This window comes from Homo sapiens, chromosome 11 (genome assembly GCF_000001405.40).
Source record: "Homo sapiens chromosome 11, GRCh38.p14 Primary Assembly".
Taxonomy (NCBI): domain Eukaryota; kingdom Metazoa; phylum Chordata; class Mammalia; order Primates; family Hominidae; genus Homo; species Homo sapiens.
In genome coordinates, this window is record NC_000011.10 from 3,853,947 (window position 1) to 3,870,050 (window position 16,104).

The following is a 16,104-nucleotide window of genomic DNA, read 5'->3' on the forward strand; positions in this document are numbered from 1 at the left end:
CAGCTTTTACAGAGAACTTACTATGTGCAGGGTCTATGGCTGGGTCCTAGTGTCACAGAGATGAATAAGGCACAGTCTCTGACCTGAAAAGTGGCAATCACTATCTGTTGGGGGAGGGGCAGACAGATGTAATGGTCCAATTTTGGCCACAGACTGATTTTGAAGGGGTGGGCAGAGTAAAAGTTTCTAAGGAGACACATTGAGCTGTATCTGGAAGAGTAAGAGACCAGCTACATGAGGAACTGGGAGCAGGCGAGAGTGTTTCATGCAGAAGCAACAGCAGATACAAAGGCTGTGAGGTGGCTGAGTTTGACGTGGTTAGGAACTTAACGAAGGCTAGTGTGACAGGAGCTTAACAGAGCCGGGAGAGTGGTAGTAGGTTACATTAGCCATGTATTTTTATATCAACGGCCTAACCCTTAAGCCAGGCAGCTGTTGGGCAAATTCGTGTTCCCAGTCTTCAGGGGCCTTGCTCAGAACAGGTAGCTGGTTTAGCACTGTCAGTCAGAGGAGGGACTGGGCCTGATCCTTTCCCCTGCGTCTGGTGCCAAGGACAGGGTAGGGCACAGAGGTTTCAGTCAAGATCTGCTGACAGCACGCTTGAGAAGAGAACAGGAAGTGCAGGCTTTGTTGAAGGAGGCTCAGGCGTGGCTCTGTCTTCTTTGGCGCACTCATTCTCAAGTCGCTGACACCTCCTCCACCAGAGAGGTAGCTGGGAGAATGAGATGCAGGGAGGAAGCATTTACAGGCCCCACCGAAAAACCTTAAAGGGCTGAGAGCTTGAGGGCAGGTAGGAAAAAGGGCTGTGAGAGCTAAGGGAGGGCATCCCACTTAGCTTGGAGGGGAAGGGAGGCGGGGTCGGGAAAGCAGATGGCACCCTTTAGCCCAGACTCAAGGAATGTGTAGGGGAATTTTAGCTAGAGTGGTTTGGACATTTCATTTTGCTTTCTGGCATCATCATTTCCTCAGAAAACACTCGCAGGCCCCAGTGGCCCTCGTGGGCCTCCCCCGGGGCGGGTCTTAGCTTCACTCGGCAACCCTCTGCAAAAGAGCAGGCCCTCCCAGGAGCGCCGAGTCCTGTCTGCAGTTTGCTGATTTTCCCACCAGGGGCCGCTGCGCATGGGCGACGAAGCGCGCGGGTTCCCAAGCCGCAGAGAGGCGGAAGCCGATTGGTTGTCAGGCGAGGCGCGAGGGCGGAGCCTGGGAACTGGCCGGGAGTTGGGGGCTGGGAGCTCGCCCCCGGGCCGAGCCGGGTCAGGCTGTTGTCGCCTCAGGCAGCTCCTGGGAGGCTAACGTCGTGTCCTGGGCCTCTGTTTAGACAGCTCTAGAACTGAGGCGAGTGGAGCAGCACCAAGGCCCGGAGATCGGGGCAGGGCAGCTGCTGTCGCCGCCGCCGCAGGCCTGAGTTACCTGAGTAACTGCGGGTCAGGGACCCGCCCGACGGCCCGCGGTTGGCGCTGGAGACTCTCGGTGGGGAAAGGGAAGCTGGGACTTGATCCTTTGCGCGGGATCCTGGCAAAGACTAGCGCGGGCCGGGGGTCCGGGAGAGCCCGCTAGGGGCGGGGATTCCGGGGAGCCGTCTTCACCGGTTATTCCGGGATCCAGCTGGGCGCTGGGGCTGGCCCGGGCTTCGCTGGGGACCGGGCGGCGCGGGGCGGGCGCGGAGACGCACGCCCCCGCCCGCCCCGGGCCCGCCCCGCGCCGCCCGCCCGCCTGGAAGCCGCTGTCCTGGGCCTGGCCGGTGTGCGTCCGCCTGCTGGACCTGGGCACCGCCAGCCGCCTGGGCACGGGACTGGGCGGGGGCGCTGACCTCGGCCTAGGAGGCCCAGGATCCCGGAGACGCCCGCGCCCTCAGGACCCTGCGGGTCGCACGCCCTCCCCAGCTTCTGCTGCTCGCCGCTCTTCGGCAGGGCGAGGTCAGGTGCCCCCTTCTCGCCTCTCTTCTCTTCTCTTCTCTTCCTCCTCCACTTCTGTGCCCGCGGAGACTCCGGCCGCCCCCTTCCGCAGGGGTGTAGTAATCTGCGGAGCTGACAGCAGCCCCGCAGCCACCCTGCCCGAAGTCTCCGGAAGCGGCACGAGCTCAGGCCGCCGCAGCCCCGGCGGACCCACTGTTGGACCTGAGGAGCCAGCCCTCCTCCCGCACCCAAACTTGGAGCACTTGACCTTTGGCTGTTGGAGGGGGCAGGCTCGCGGGTGGCTGGACAGCTGCGGAGCCGCGAGGGCATCTTGCCTGGAGACCGTCGGCTGCACTCCCGGGCTCCTGGCTTTGCCTCTGGGATCCCGAGGTGTCCACATCAGACGCATGTTGACTGAGACCTAGAGTCATGGATGTATGCGTCCGTCTTGCCCTGTGGCTCCTCTGGGGACTCCTCCTGCACCAGGGCCAGAGCCTCAGCCATAGTCACAGTGAGAAGGCGACAGGAACCAGCTCGGGGGCCAACTCTGAGGAGTCCACTGCAGCAGGTAAGGCCTTGCTGCGGGCTGGACTGGGCTGGAGGCTTTGGCTCAGGACTGAGTGGCCCGAAGTGGGCAAGTTGAAATCTAGGTTTGTACATGTGAGGTTCATGGAGGATTCACACATGGCACTGCCTGTTCCAAGTAGTTCAAGAAGTTCTTTCTGGTCAGTAGTCATGGCAAATGCCTGTATCTTTCCTGAACAACTTTCCTCATCCCCCGCACTCAGGATTTTTTTTGTTGGCAGTAAGAAGAAGCCTTTGGGGCAACTTGACCTTTTAGATCAGCAAGGAAAGACCCCATCTTAGGCCTACTTGTCTGGAAGAATGGCCTGGTGAGATGATAAGTTCATTGCTCCTATTCGGTTTTAGTACTGAGCAGCATGGGGGAGGTTGGGGCCACTTATGTTGGAAAGGGAAAGTTAAGGCTGGGCCACCTCTGTTGCCTGAAAGCCTGGTGTTCAGGTGTGCCTATTCCAACAACCGTGGGAACCCTAGTCCCACCCTTCCCTTAGGTAGTCTTGTCTCTTTGCTGTGCGCATTTGAAATATCCAGGCGGTTTCTTAGATGGAATCCTATTTACAACTAGGGTGTTAAATGGCCTTTTCTTGACATAGACATGATATAATTCCTGGGACCACTTGTTGACTTATTCTGTTTCTTCTGACTGATGAGGGTGGGAATTCCATGCTACAGGTTTTTTTTTTTGTTTTTTTTTTTTTTTCCCTGAGTCTGCTTGCTAGGGAAACCATGCTACTTTTGATCTGTCATGGTTTTTCCTATGCAGTTGTGAAGGCTTATCAGGCAGCAGGAGCCCTGGTATACTTTTGCAGTAGAAAGGAACACTTTTATGTTTTGTTTTGTTTTTTTGAGACAGGGTCTTGATCTGTCGTCCAAGCTGGAATGCAGTAGTGTGATCACAGCTCACTACAGCCTCAAACTCCTGGGTTCAAGTGATCCTCCTGCCTCAGCCTCCCGGTAGCTGGGACTAAACACAAGAGCCACTGGGCCTGGCTAACTTTTTTTTTCTTTCTATTTTTAATTTTTTGAACAGACACTGTCTCTCTGTGTTGTGCAGGGATCCCTCCCAAAGTGCTGGGATTACAGGTGTGAGCCACTGTACCCATCAAGGAACTCTATTAAAATCCAGTCATTTTACATAAGGCTTACGAGATCAGTTCTCTTTTCCCATTTCTCTCACCCTTTGGCTGTGATCTGCCCAAAGCTGTGACCTGCAGTGTGGGGAGAGTTTATAGATGAGTTGTTTCTGAGCATAAGCAAGTTCAAATGAGGGAATGGCTCAGTGGGCACCTGCTGATACAAGTCAGAAAAGGAAATATAGGTCATGGTGGCTGGGGAGTTTCATGGATGGATCCAGAAGCTGGCTTTGGTGGTAGACCCTTTATTGGGCAATACCCTTTTAAGTTCCAGATGTTCCAAGAGGTCTGGTTTCCAAATGAGGCCAGGGTTGCCCATGTGTAAGTAGGATACCTGGCTGTTGCTTTCTAGATAGATCCTTTTTGCCTATTAATCCTGTCTCTCCATAGAGAGTCTCCTTGACCTTTGAGACCTGGCTGAAAGCTTGGTTCTTATTGGGCTATGAAGGGAAAGACTAGTGGGCAAATGTAGATTGAACTGTGAAGTAGACCTAATTATCATCTCTTCCTGTCCCTGTGACATTCCTATTTATAACTGATAATATGTCTTTTTTCACTCCAAAATATGAGTGCCTGACATAAGATGAATATTTTTTGGAGAGTGGGTGTTCTATATTTTAGACATAAGCTAAAGGGATGAAATTTTGAATGTAGACATTGGCTGGCTATTAGGAAGGTTTTTTTTTTTTTGTTTTTTGTTTTTCGCCTGAAGTAAAAGGCATTCTAGCCTTCCTCAGGACCACCCCATGACTTGAGCTTTTGGAGACAATTCTTCACACAACATATATTTCAGAGGCCTGGCTATGCTGATTATACCACTTAGGCCTACTCATGCTCAGTTTAGAAACTGGTTTCTGTTGTCACAATAATAGTGAATTCCAGGGAGGAAAGTCTCAGAGAGACCCTAGGTGCTGTGAATGCCTAAGGTTTGTGGAAACCTGGAGGTTCTAGCACTATTGTTGTGGTAGGTTTTCCCCTTGGGTCTACCTGGGGTTTTGTCTTTGACTCAGTCAGGGACTTGTTTTTGCAAAGAGGTGGTTCATATAGACTGGGATCTGCAAAAGAGTTTGGAGAGAAACTTTCTATGCAACTAGGAACTCTTGCATCCTTTCCAGCCTCTCTGTATCCCCAGAACACAGGAGGAGCTTTACTTGCTCTTAAAACTACTACTTTTAAAAATCAGATTCAACATACCCAGTCAATTTGTGTGTTCTCTGCAGTTTGTATTTTACAATTACATAGCTGTTTTTCCAACAGAGTCTCACAATAGCCCTGTTACAATGCAGGGCAAGTGGTATTGTCCCCATTTTTATGGGTGAAGAAACCTGGTCCTGTGCTTGGTCTTTCTTATAGGCAGGTCTTCTGATGCTTAAGTCTTGGATTTCTTCCATCTTCTCAGGTCCTGCCCTGTTAAAGGAGTGCTAGGCAGGGCTGGAGAATGTTGCTTTCCTTCTGACAATTAGGCAGGCCTTGGTGACTCTGTAGCTGAGAGCCAAGAAAAGGGCTGTACTTTTTTTCTGCTCTGGAGAGTCTTTTGCAGGGGCCCAGAGAATTTGATTTTTTCTCTTTTGGATGTATATACCCATCTGTCTCTTTTTAGTTAGTTAAAATATTTGATCCTAAGATTGATTTAGTTAAAATGCTTATGGCTTTAGCATGCATACAATAAACACTATGAAAGCCTGATCCTGCAGTGAAGGCAGGTGCTCTACAAGGAGGATCTCTCACTGGGCCGTGGAGAGGCCATTCCTGTCACCCTTTGGCTCTTTAATACCTGTACACCCAGCCATGCTAGGTCACTTTCTCAGTAAAGATCTGTGCCTGCCTGTGCTACTCTGGGGCTTGCGTTTCTGAAGCTGGCCTGATACGGATGCTTGGAACCGTCCTTAGACTCTAGAAAACAACAATGGTTTCTGTAGAATGTGCATGAGGGACCTCAGGTGGAGTCTGGAGTTATGGCTGCCAGTGTTGGAGGTATTGAGGGCCTCTAATCAGGAACTGTGGTTTAGTTCAGTGTAGCTAGGACAGGGCCTTGGAGGATAGGCATCTAGGCAGTGTGCAGAGTGCAGGCTGGCTTCTCAATCAACCTCTGATGGAGTGGCAGGCCAGAACCCTGCCTCCCTCCCCCAGCTAGTTGCTGCTGCCTCCAAGGCTATAAATGGCCTGGCCATCTTGGTAGCTATGCTAATTTTAGCTGAGGGTGGCTCCCGGAACTGGGCTGGGGCCAAGAGCAGGTAGGTGGGGCTTGGCTGAAGCTAATACTGGGGCCTGGGGAGAGGGACACACTAAGCCTGGGGTAGCCAGGATATAATCTGCTCCCAGGCCTCAGCTTTGACAATCACCCTTAGCTAGGTTAATTGATTCAGCAAACATTGAACAATGCCAGCTCATGTGGTATTTATTAAACAAGTATTAATATTTGAGTGCCTTCTCTGGGCTAGGTCATATGTTCCTGTGGGGATTTAAGGATGAACAAAACAGACATGTTCCTTCCCTCATGGAAGTTACAGTCTTGTTGATGAGACAGATAATAAACACATAAATAAATATATTATCTTGTGGAAAATGTCATGGAAGAAATAAACAGGATGCTATCATGGAGAATGAGAGGGGAACAGAGATCTAGTTAAAGCCTGAACCTAATTGTAGGACAGATTAATACAATAACATCAATGATAATAATAGCAACTAACTTTTTTAGAGCTTACTATATGTCAGGCACTATTTAAACATTTTGTTTTATTAAATTCTTATTACCATCCTGTGTTATATTGTCCCCATTTTATAGATGAGAAAATTAAATCATAGAGAGGTTAAATAACTTGCCCATGTTTACACAGATAACAAGGAAGCCAGAGTTTGAATCCAGGCAGTCTGATTCTTCTCTCTACCTCTACTTTAGCCACTCTCAAAACTTTGTGATAAATCTGCAATAGAGGTATTATATATACATGCAGAAAGCTGTGGGAAGCCCAGAGGAGTAAGTGACTAACCCTGCCTGGGAGAGCTGGGGGAGGCCTTACAGTTTCTTTGTAATTTTTCTCAGATCTTGAGATGAAAAGCGGCTGCCTAATTCAAAGGTTACGAGATAGAAACATCAGTTAGTTCATCCCACCTATTTTTACATATGAGGAAACTGGCATCCAGAGAGGCATTAGAGGTTTCATGGTGGGTTATTAGTAGAACTAGACTAGGAAATTTGAGTCAGGGACCTTAACTTAAATCAGTTTTTCATTTTATAAGTGAAAATAATGGGTGCTCACTGCTTGCTTTTCACTGTGGAAGGAACTTAGGGCTACTGAAGAAGTCTACGTTTTGTAGGGCCACATGTATTTAGGGAATATTAAATACAACATAATGTACAGGCTTAATGATGTGCAAAATCAGGCAGTATAGACATTGTAGGCTAAGGGTTAAAAGCGATCTGTGTGGGCTGGGCTAGACTAGGTGGCTGCAGAGGGCTTCCTGGAAAGGAGGGGTTGGGTGGAGGCAGAAGAGAACAGGAGAGAGTAGTCTGACTTGGGGAGGTTGGAGGAAAGGAGGCATTGTAAATATCTGGTTTCACTGTTTGGTAGCTGGATGATCATTAGGCAGAGTTGCTTCATTGTTGGCTAGCTACCTCACATGAGCACCCATAGGTAGGAAGATTGCAGTCATGTGTGATCTAGTAGTGGTTCTATTTTTTTTTTTTTTTTGAGATGGAGTCTTGCTCTGTTGCCCAGGCTGGAGTGCAGTGGCCCGATCTCAGCTCACTGCAAGCTCCACCTCCCAGGTTCATGCCATTCTCCTGCCTCAGCCTCCCAAGTGGCTGGGACTACAGGCATCCGCCACCACGCCTGGCTAATTGTTTTGTATTTTTAGTAGAGACAGGGTTTCACCTTGTTAGCCAGGATGGTCTTGATCTCCTGACTTCGTGATCTGCCTGCCTCGGCCTCCCAAAGTGTGGGATTACAGGCGTGAGCCACCGCGCCTGGCCTCTATTTTTTACCGTAATTTAGAAGTAATGATGAGTGTAAATAATACTTTGAGATATCTGTAGCAATGTAATGTGATATGAAAACATCTGTTGATTTCTATTGATGACAAAATCACAGTTATTGCTAATATTATTGTGGTTGGTTGCTCCATATGTAATTGAAGGAAATGCTAACTTTCAGTAAGAGAATATTGAAAACAAAGATGTAATTTCATTCCCATCCAAATTCACAGGCCTCCTGAATTCTATCTATGGGCCCCTTAGGGATATGGGGCCTTCGTGTTAAGAACAGCTCTTTGGCAAGGAAGTGATGAGATCTTGTGGAGGGGAGTAGTTTCCTAGGTCTCTACAGGACTTGAGTTTCAGACCCAAGGGGCCCCTCTGGTTTCCTGCTGGGTAACCTTTGATATACATTGCTGAGTGGCTTTGTGGGCATGCTGTGGTACATTTCCCTTTGTGGAAAATGATTCTTTGGGAAACTCAGCAGGTTTGGTTGTTGTCAGGCTTTTAGGGAGAAAAAAAGAGACCAAACTGGGCCTCCAGAGCTTTGTTGTTGCTGTTGTTGTTACTGTTGATTAAAAAAATCATGAAATATTAAGATATACAACAAAGTATAAATAATAATAAATTGAATACCCTGAAATGACTTTGAAAAAAATTGTGGACTAAAAGCAGGAAATCATCCCAAGACCTTGTCTTACCCTAAATTCCCCCTAAAAAGTAAGACCTGGGATAGGAACTTGCAGAGAGTTTATTTCGGAGAAGTGACTTCAAGAAATGAGGGGTGGGAGTTGTGAAGAATGAAACAGGGAATGGACAGGTGTACTATGGAGCTAACACCACTGTGAGCATCTGAGGCTCAGTGTCACTTAGAGACCCTCTGAGAAGCCTTGTAGAATGCTCTGTAGAATTGCATTCTACAGGTGATAGAGGAGGGGAGTATTTATCCACCACCTCACCTTCACTCGCCAAGGGTTATCCCAGGAGGTGCTACCTCTTCTGTACTCCAGAGTTGCATATGCATCAGAATGACCGAGCAGGTTCCTTTAAGTACTGCATATTGGCCATCACACCCGGCTAATTTTTTGTATTTTTAGTAGAGGCAGGGTTTCACTGTGTTAGCCAGGATGGTCTCGATCTCCTGACCTCGTGATCTGTCCGCCTTGGCCTCCCAAAGTGTTTGGATTACAGACGTGAGCCACCGTGCCCAGCCAAGTAGTCCCCTCTTATCTGTGGTTTCAGTTACCTGAGGTCAACTGAGGTCTGGGGGTAAAAAAAGTATATATGTGTGTATAAGATACATACTTATACATATATAAGTATATCTGTAAGTACACACACACACACGCACACACACACACACACACATATTTTTTTGAGGTAGAGTTTCGCTCTTGTCACCCAGGCTGGAGTGCAATGGCGCCATCTCGGCTCACTGCAAACTCCACCTCCTGGGTTTAAGCAATTCTTCTGTCTCAGCCTCCCAAGTAGCTGGGATTACAGGTGCCCGCCACCACACCTGGCTAATTTTTGTATTTTTTAGTAGAAACAGGGTTTCACTGTGTTGGCCAGGCTGGTCCTGAACTCCTGACCTCAGATAATCCACCTGTCTCAGCCTCCCAAAGTGTTGGGATTACAGGCGTGAGCCACCACGCCTGGCCACACACGTATATATTTGAGACAATGCATGTGTGTGTGTGTGTGTGTGTGTGTGTGTGTGTGTGTGTGTGTGTGTATGTATTTGAGACAGGGTCTCTCTGTCACCTAGGCTGGATTGCAGTGGTGTGATCATGGCTCACTGTTGCCTCGACCTTCCTGGGCTCAGGTGATCCTCCCACCTCAGCCTCCCAAGTAGCTGGGACTGCAGGCATGTGCCACCATGCCTGGCTACTTTTTCTATTTTTTTGAAGAGACGAGGTTTTTCCGTGTTGCCCAGGCTGGTCTTGAACTGTTGGACTCAAGGGATCTTCCCAGCTTGGCTTCCCAAAGTGCTGGGATTACAGGCATGAGCCACTGTGCCCCAGCCAAATCTGAAAATATTAAGTGGAAAATTCCAGAAATAATTCATAAGTTTTAAATTGCACACCATTTTGAGTAGCATGATGAAATCTCATGCTGTCCTGCTCTGTCCTGCCCAGGATGTTAATCAACCCCTTTGTCCAGCGTATTCGTGTACCATAGGCTACCTGTGCTTTAGTCACTTAGTAGCCATCTTAGGGATCAGATCGACTGTCTTGGTGTCACAGTGCTTGCGTTCAAGTAATCCTTATTTTACTTCATAATGGCCCCAAAGTGCAAGAGTGATTGCTGACATATTGTTACAATTATTCCGCTTTATTAATAGTTATTGTTGTTAACATCTTACTAATTTATGAGTTAAACTGTATCATAGGTACGTATGTGTAGGAAAAAACATAGTGGGTATAGGTTTGGTGCTATCCGCTGGGAGTCTTAGCATGCATCCCCCGAGAATAAAGGAGGGCTGCTGTAGTTTCATTGTCTCACTTCGGCTATACCCAGCCATCATGCGTAACTCTGGTGTGGCCAAACCAGGCTTTTATTCAAGGCTTACTGTGGGCCATGGGGAGACTGTTAATAAAGTCTGGGTGCTAATATTTGACCTCAGCTCCAGCTGTACTCTCTTATTGAGTATAACCACCTCCCTAGCTTCACCTGCAGTCTTGAAATGGCTGAGCAAATGGGCCTGGTCCCCACTGTATTGGTTACTTATTGGTGTATAACAAATTATGCCAAAACAGAGAGGGCTAAAATAATAAGTATTTATTATCTCATAGATTCTGTGCATCGGGAGTCTGGATATAGCTTGACTGGGTACCTCTGGCTCAGAGTCTCTCATGAGATGGCAGTCAAACTGTTGGCTGGGGCTGAAGACTCTATTTGGGGGGAGAGTGTTTGCTTTTAAGCTAATTCACATGGTTGTTGGCAGGCCTTGGTTCCTTGCCATATGGGCCTCTACACTGGGCTATACTGGACATGATGATTGGTTTCCCCTAGAACAAGTGGTCCAAGAGAGCGCAAGAGAGAGTGCCTAAGATAGATACCTCCATCTTTTTATCATCTAATCTTGGAATTGATAGGCCATCACTTCTTCTATATTGTGTTTGTTAGTAAGTCCAGCCCATCCTCAAGGTGAGGGAATTACATAAGGGCATGAACACTAGGAGGGCAAGGACCGCTAGGGATCATCTTAAAGGATGCCTCTGAGATTGCCCAAGGGCCATGCTCTGGGGAACAATCACTTCTAGGTTCTGTGGCCTTTTAGTTTTTCTTTGACTTCCTTTGCTTATGACCTAGAGTCTTGTGGAGTCTTTTTATACTCCCTTTTATGTTGTGTCTCTTGGTTCATGCATTACTTCATTGCTTTGACATGACCTATCCTTTTTTCCTTCTCCCCGGACTCCTGGGCTCCAATTAGAAACTAGCTTTTTATCCTAGGCTGCAGTCCTGCCTACCAACTTTTTTTGTTTCATACCTTCTATTCTGGAGCCCATTGTACAGCCACTGACTTTGGAGCCTTTACTACTCCAACTTGGCTTCTGAGAGTTAGATTTGTAGATGGCATTGAATTGGGACTCACAATGACAGATGAAAAACTTCATTCTGACTTTTTAGGCCATTGGTGTTAGGTGCTAGGACTGAAATCCTAGTATGTGAAAGCTGGAAGGGGTTTTAGAGACCATCTCTCCCAAACTTCTTATTTACATATCAGAAGAACAAACTTACCCAAGGTTTTGGTAAGCCAGGGCTAGAATATAATTTTCTCTGATTCTCATTCATATGTTGTTCTCACTCTGTTGTGGAGCCTGTCTACCCTAATGGAGCCTGTTTGGGTTGTTAGGAGGTCTGGGACCTACACAGAGGAGAACCAGGAAGCAGTTCACAATATTATATTATGTTCACCGAAATTGGTCTGGGTACAATTAGGGATATACAAAGTCAAATGTCAAGTGCTGCTTCTTTGGACCTATCCAGCTAGAAAGCTTTTTTATTAGGCACAGAAAAAGAAGCCCAGCAATATCTGTTTCCTATGGTGCCTAATATATGCACCCTATACCACTCTCTTGACAATATCTGTTCAGAGCAATGAGGAATCTGTTTGCTGGGATGTACAGTATAGGCATCTGAAGGAGACAGGTCAGAGCCTTATGTTGTATGTCTCACCACTGAGCTGTTCAGCTGGCTCCATTATGGATTTGGGGCCTCCACAGGCAGGGTAAATGTATTAAAAACTTTGTGGGGTTACTCGTGGCCACCTGGAAAGTGCCAAGGGGAGGTTCTCTGGGCATTGAGAATTTGACAACTTTGCCTGTGTTGATACAACTTGCTAGAGCAGGCAAGACTTGAAGAGGGATGGCTGTGGTCCTGTCATGTTTATCAGAGTGGAGCAGATTTCTTTTGTGTGAGAAGTCATGCAAGAAAAATCCGGAAATGAGCCAACAGCACTTAAACTTTTGTTTTCTGCTGGGGAGCATGGAATAGAGAAGGTGCAGGTTCTAAAATTTCTGTATGGGTGGTGGTTGCTTTCCTGACACAGAGTTCCAGCCCCAGACCACTTTACTCACTTCATCTCCCTCTGTTCCCCTTGCTGCATTCTTGGCAAGCCAAGCATTTTTCTTTGTTCTGATCTGCAGAACAAACTTTTATTTATACTGCTTCACTTTTGTTTTTACTTATGTCATTTAACTTCCTTCAGAATGTCTTTATTACCTGTCCTTCTTTATTTCTACTTCCAGTCCTCTATGAAGTCTTTCCTGACACTAATTCTAGCTGTGAGATACTGCTGACCTGTGAACAAACTCTGGTAGCACTTACTATCTGCAGTGCTCTCTGTGCACTTCACACCCTGCTTACGCCACAAGAGGCAGCTTGCTATGTCTTTTTTTTTTTTTTTTGTGACAGAGTCTTGCTCTGTCCCCTGGCTGGAGTGCAGTGGCGTAATCTTGGCTCACTGCAACTTCCGCCTCCTGGGTTCCGGTGATTCTCCTGCATCAGCCTCCTGAGTAGCTGGGATTACAGGTGCGTGCCACCATGCCCAGCTAATTTTTGTATATTTAGTAGAGACGGGGTTTCACCATGTTGATCAGGCTGGTCTTGAACTCCTGACCTTGCGATCCGCCTGCCTCGGCCTCTCAAGATATGTCTTTTACAGCAAGCCAGTACCTAAGAGCACTGGGCATTGGTTTGAGTTCTTGGTGACAGTATGACAGTGTGATCCAAACTGTCAAATGACAGTTTCCTCACTTGAAAAATGGAGTTATCAGCACCATAAGAGAGGGTAAAGAAAGAAAGAAAAGAAAAGTAAAAAAGAAATTAAAACTGTGCTTTATTTATTATTATTATTATTTTTGAATATTTCCTTGTCTCTTAAGGGCAAGAGCCATGTCTGGTTTGTTGGCTGTAGTACATATCCTCAGTACCTATGAGAGTGCTGGTCAGAGAGTATGTGCCCAGTAGATATTTGTTGACCAAATGAATAACAATGAATTGATCTTTGGATTGAGTAGGTGGGGAGGGAGAATACCAAGTACTTGACATCAGTTCCTGTAAAACTGTTAGATGAGCATGCCCTGGGATTGGGATAGAATTCACATGGTGAGTTTTCTGAGGAGTTCTGTAGGGATTATTTTTCTGCCTGACCTAGTACTTCATCCCTATTTACTAAGCACCTACTGAAGCTGTGCTCAGTGACAGTTATCAGTCATAATGAGGGATGGTTTGGCTATTGACTTTGGTTGGCAGTTTTTGTTTGCCACAGCAATGACTACCCTGAGCAGGTGGCTGCAGTAGGAGTGGAGAACTGTGCTTGAAGAGGACATGAAACCTGTAGGCAAGGCCTTCTTGGGTCTTCCTGCTCCCTGTCTTTGGTTCCATGGCCCACATGGGTTTACCTCAGGTCAAATTTGAGGCAGCTGAATGAACAGAATGAACTTTCACTACTTTGCTGAGACTAGCTTGTGGAACGGAGGAGGAAACCTTTCATGGTTCCCACTCCTGGGCTTGTTGTGCAGCAGAGAGATAGGATAGTCCTGTGAAGATTGCTGGCTTTTTAAATGTTATCTCTGATGCTGAGAACTCCAGCCTGAGCAGGCATCACATCAGCTTTCCTTCAAGACGCTGGGGAGGGGCCTCTTGGGAGATGTGATGGAGGAGACAAAAGAATAAAAGTAACTGTGCTGTCAGCACGGCCCAGTAAGGGCTTATCTGACCCTTTCCTCGGTTGGCCATATACACAGAGCCCCTGGCTGCCTTGTGTTGATCTCTGGCCTAGGTAATGACCAGAAATCTCACTGGCAGGCAGGCAGGCAGGCAGGCAGGCAAGCAGGCAGGCTTTCAAATCTCATGTGCCTCTAATTTTCTCAGTGTGATTCAGTAGCTCTGCTCCTGTTTGGCCTCTCTGGGTTATCTCAGGCCTCTCAGGAAGCTCTCAGAACTCTCGTCACTACAGTGTATGTTCGAACAAATGTGTCTGTGCTTGCCAAGTTCCCAGAGCTGGCTTCTGAAATACAGCAGCCAGGGGAGATGGGTGGCCTTCAGGTGTAACACACACACACAGGTTAGAAAGCAGTGTGTGTCTGTGTGTGTATTTGTTGCTGGGTGGTCGAATTTGTGGAGGTCTTGTTTCAAGAAACTTTTGCTGACAAGAGCAAAGGTCACTGGAACTCACACTTCATATCTCTGAAGAGATAAATATGTAATTAAGACAACTGAAATAACTTCGATGGTAAGAATGATGATGACAGCTACTATTTATTGAGCACCTTTGTAGGTGTTTTACATCTGCAAAACAACTCTTAAGGGTGGATATAGCTCTCATTTTACTGATGAAGAAATTGTAACTGAGAACTTAAGGTCATTTTCCCAAGGTGGCGGAGCCAGGATTTGAAATTAGCTTTATCTGATCCCAAGACCAAAATTGTTTCTATTTTTGTTTAATAACTTGGTGTGGGGTGGGGTGGCGGGGAAGAAACAGCTATCTGAGTTTAGAATTTAGGTGGAGATAGGCATTTTGATTAAAAATTATACAATTTATAGGACTGTTAAGTGGTGTTAGTTTATTCTATCACCCAAGTGGCCTGGGAAACTAGGATTAGAGGTGGGATGGGAGATGGAAAGAGAGGCTGTATTTTACTTATGAATTCTGAGTAGGTAGTACCTAGCTACAGAGTGGTGTATATTCAGTTTATATTTTCCAAAACTATCACCCTGGTTCAACTGTTCTGAATTTAAGCCTTGGGGTAGGGGCTGTGTCTTTGTAGTTAGTGTTCTTTATCTCTTCAGTCAACATTTAGCATGTTTATTATGTGTTATAAGACAATCCCTGCCCAGTAGAAGGACTCAATATAGCAGGAGAATTAAGATGTATGGTCACATTTTATATTATAATAAGAGCTTCTATTTATTGAGTACCTATTCTTTTCTCTCTCTTTTTTTTTTTGACCGAGTCTCACTCTGTCGCCCAGGCTGGAGTGCAGTGGCGCCATCTTGGCTCATTGCAAGCCCTGCCTCCCGGGTTCATGCCATTCTCCTGCCTCAGCCTCCCGAGTAGCGGGGACTACAGGCGCCAGCCACCATGCTCGGTTAATTTTTTTGTATTTTTAGTAGAGATGGGTTTTCACCGTGTTAGCCAGAATGGTCTTGATCTCCTGACCTCGTGATCCGCCCGCCTCCACTTCCCAAAGTGCTAGGTTTATAGGCGTGAGCCACCGCACCTGGCCTGAGTACTATTCTTTATCAGGACTGGGCTAGGTACTTTCACATGCATTATTTTAGTTAATCCTCACATCGGGTCTCTCACTTTATAGCTTTTTGTACAAGGCAATCTTGGTTCAGTGCCCTGTGATTGATACTGATAGTCTTGTTGGCAGTTGTGATCTTCTCTGCTGAGGGAGATCAGAGAAGCTTTGTAGAGGAGGTAGCAGCTTAGTGGGTCTTCAGATACTTCAGGTAGAAATATAAGGGAATTTGTGGGAAGTATTCCAGTCATAGGAAATGTTATGAGTAAAGGTCTGGAGTGGGAAAAAGTAAAGAGTCTTTGGGGGGCAGTAGTTTAGATTGGCTGGAGAGTGGTAGCTGTGCCAGAGAGTACCATAAAAAGATCAAGGAGGGCCTAAATTGTCAGGCTACTTGATTCCATAGGGAATAAATAGTCCTTGCACGTTTTGACAAGGGGAGAGACCTGACCTGAGTTTTGCTTTAGCAAGGTTAATCTCACAGAATATGCACAGTACATTGGTAAAGGTGAGATTGGAGGCAATGAGCCTAGATAGGAGACTTTGCAACTGTTCATGAGCAGAAGACATCAGGGTCTGCATTGTGGAGGTAAAATCAGTAGGACTCAGAGTTTAAATGTAGGAAGGGAAGGAAAGAAAGAAAAGAGTCAAAGATACACCAGTGTTTTGAGTGTGGGTCATGAAGAGACTGGTGGTGCCATTAGCAGAAAATATATGGCAGTCAGAAGGAGGGTCAGTGCTAGGGGATGATTAGTGGTGGGGTAGCT

At 46.8% G+C, this 16,104-nt stretch overlaps 1 protein-coding gene, 1 long non-coding RNA gene and 1 other non-coding gene across 24 annotated transcripts in view, besides 12 other annotated features; 2 read left to right on the forward strand and 1 right to left on the reverse strand.

Annotated features, from left to right (window-relative positions):
* STIM1-AS1 (STIM1 antisense RNA 1) lies at positions 377-1,632 on the reverse strand. Its single transcript, NR_183662.1, has 2 exons — positions 1,411-1,632; positions 377-712 (listed from the first exon to the last, which is right to left on the reverse strand). It is a non-coding gene; the product is annotated as an STIM1 antisense RNA 1 (long non-coding RNA).
* The window catches only part of STIM1 (stromal interaction molecule 1), a 238,607-nt gene continuing 223,160 nt past the window's right edge, over positions 658-16,104 (forward strand). For 11 of the 22 annotated variants that reach the window (NR_168437.1, NR_168436.1, NR_168438.1 and 8 more), the window contains exon 1: positions 1,718-2,463. Coding sequence is in view for 8 of the 22 variants with exons in the window: in NM_001382568.1 (NP_001369497.1) it covers positions 2,325-2,463 (139 nt within the window). In the remaining 14 variants the exon portion in view is untranslated. Of the gene's footprint in view, positions 791-1,216; positions 1,471-1,717; positions 2,464-16,104 lie in introns of those variants that run through there. The other 11 variants (NM_001382578.1, NM_001382575.1, NM_001382580.1 and 8 more) reach the window with 4 other exon arrangements.
* Positions 694-763: an enhancer, noted in NCBI's record as "active region_4311". NCBI's record gives its function as "activates an Ori minimal core promoter by ATAC-STARR-seq in GM12878 lymphoblastoid cells {active_cell/tissue: GM12878}" and the evidence as "EXISTENCE:reporter gene assay evidence [ECO:0000049][PMID:35858748]".
* Positions 973-1,918: an enhancer, noted in NCBI's record as "H3K27ac-H3K4me1 hESC enhancer chr11:3876149-3877094 (GRCh37/hg19 assembly coordinates)". NCBI's record gives its function as "activates a minimal SCP1, AML or CMV promoter by ChIP-STARR-seq in primed H9 embryonic stem cells {active_cell/tissue: H9 hESC(primed)}" and the evidence as "EXISTENCE:reporter gene assay evidence [ECO:0000049][PMID:30033119]".
* Positions 1,104-1,153: a silencer, noted in NCBI's record as "silent region_3089". NCBI's record gives its function as "represses an Ori minimal core promoter by ATAC-STARR-seq in GM12878 lymphoblastoid cells {active_cell/tissue: GM12878}" and the evidence as "EXISTENCE:reporter gene assay evidence [ECO:0000049][PMID:35858748]".
* Positions 1,634-1,693: a silencer, noted in NCBI's record as "silent region_3090". NCBI's record gives its function as "represses an Ori minimal core promoter by ATAC-STARR-seq in GM12878 lymphoblastoid cells {active_cell/tissue: GM12878}" and the evidence as "EXISTENCE:reporter gene assay evidence [ECO:0000049][PMID:35858748]".
* Positions 1,754-1,913: a silencer, noted in NCBI's record as "silent region_3091". NCBI's record gives its function as "represses an Ori minimal core promoter by ATAC-STARR-seq in GM12878 lymphoblastoid cells {active_cell/tissue: GM12878}" and the evidence as "EXISTENCE:reporter gene assay evidence [ECO:0000049][PMID:35858748]".
* MIR4687 (microRNA 4687) lies at positions 2,116-2,195 on the forward strand. The gene has a single exon (NR_039835.1). It is a non-coding gene; the product is annotated as a microRNA 4687 (primary transcript).
* Positions 2,134-2,343: an enhancer, noted in NCBI's record as "active region_4312". NCBI's record gives its function as "activates an Ori minimal core promoter by ATAC-STARR-seq in GM12878 lymphoblastoid cells {active_cell/tissue: GM12878}" and the evidence as "EXISTENCE:reporter gene assay evidence [ECO:0000049][PMID:35858748]".
* Positions 2,494-2,573: an enhancer, noted in NCBI's record as "active region_4313". NCBI's record gives its function as "activates an Ori minimal core promoter by ATAC-STARR-seq in GM12878 lymphoblastoid cells {active_cell/tissue: GM12878}" and the evidence as "EXISTENCE:reporter gene assay evidence [ECO:0000049][PMID:35858748]".
* Positions 2,584-2,633: an enhancer, noted in NCBI's record as "active region_4314". NCBI's record gives its function as "activates an Ori minimal core promoter by ATAC-STARR-seq in GM12878 lymphoblastoid cells {active_cell/tissue: GM12878}" and the evidence as "EXISTENCE:reporter gene assay evidence [ECO:0000049][PMID:35858748]".
* Positions 5,420-5,599: an enhancer, noted in NCBI's record as "active region_4315". NCBI's record gives its function as "activates an Ori minimal core promoter by ATAC-STARR-seq in GM12878 lymphoblastoid cells {active_cell/tissue: GM12878}" and the evidence as "EXISTENCE:reporter gene assay evidence [ECO:0000049][PMID:35858748]".
* Positions 5,633-5,927: an enhancer, noted in NCBI's record as "tiled region #4669; HepG2 Activating non-DNase unmatched - State 2:TssF, and K562 Activating DNase matched - State 5:Enh". NCBI's record gives its function as "activates a minimal TATA promoter and a strong SV40 promoter by Sharpr-MPRA in HepG2 and K562 cells {active_cell/tissue: HepG2 | K562}" and the evidence as "EXISTENCE:reporter gene assay evidence [ECO:0000049][PMID:27701403]".
* Positions 5,633-5,939: a biological region, named in NCBI's record as "Sharpr-MPRA regulatory region 4669".
* Positions 5,750-5,939: a silencer, noted in NCBI's record as "silent region_3092". NCBI's record gives its function as "represses an Ori minimal core promoter by ATAC-STARR-seq in GM12878 lymphoblastoid cells {active_cell/tissue: GM12878}" and the evidence as "EXISTENCE:reporter gene assay evidence [ECO:0000049][PMID:35858748]".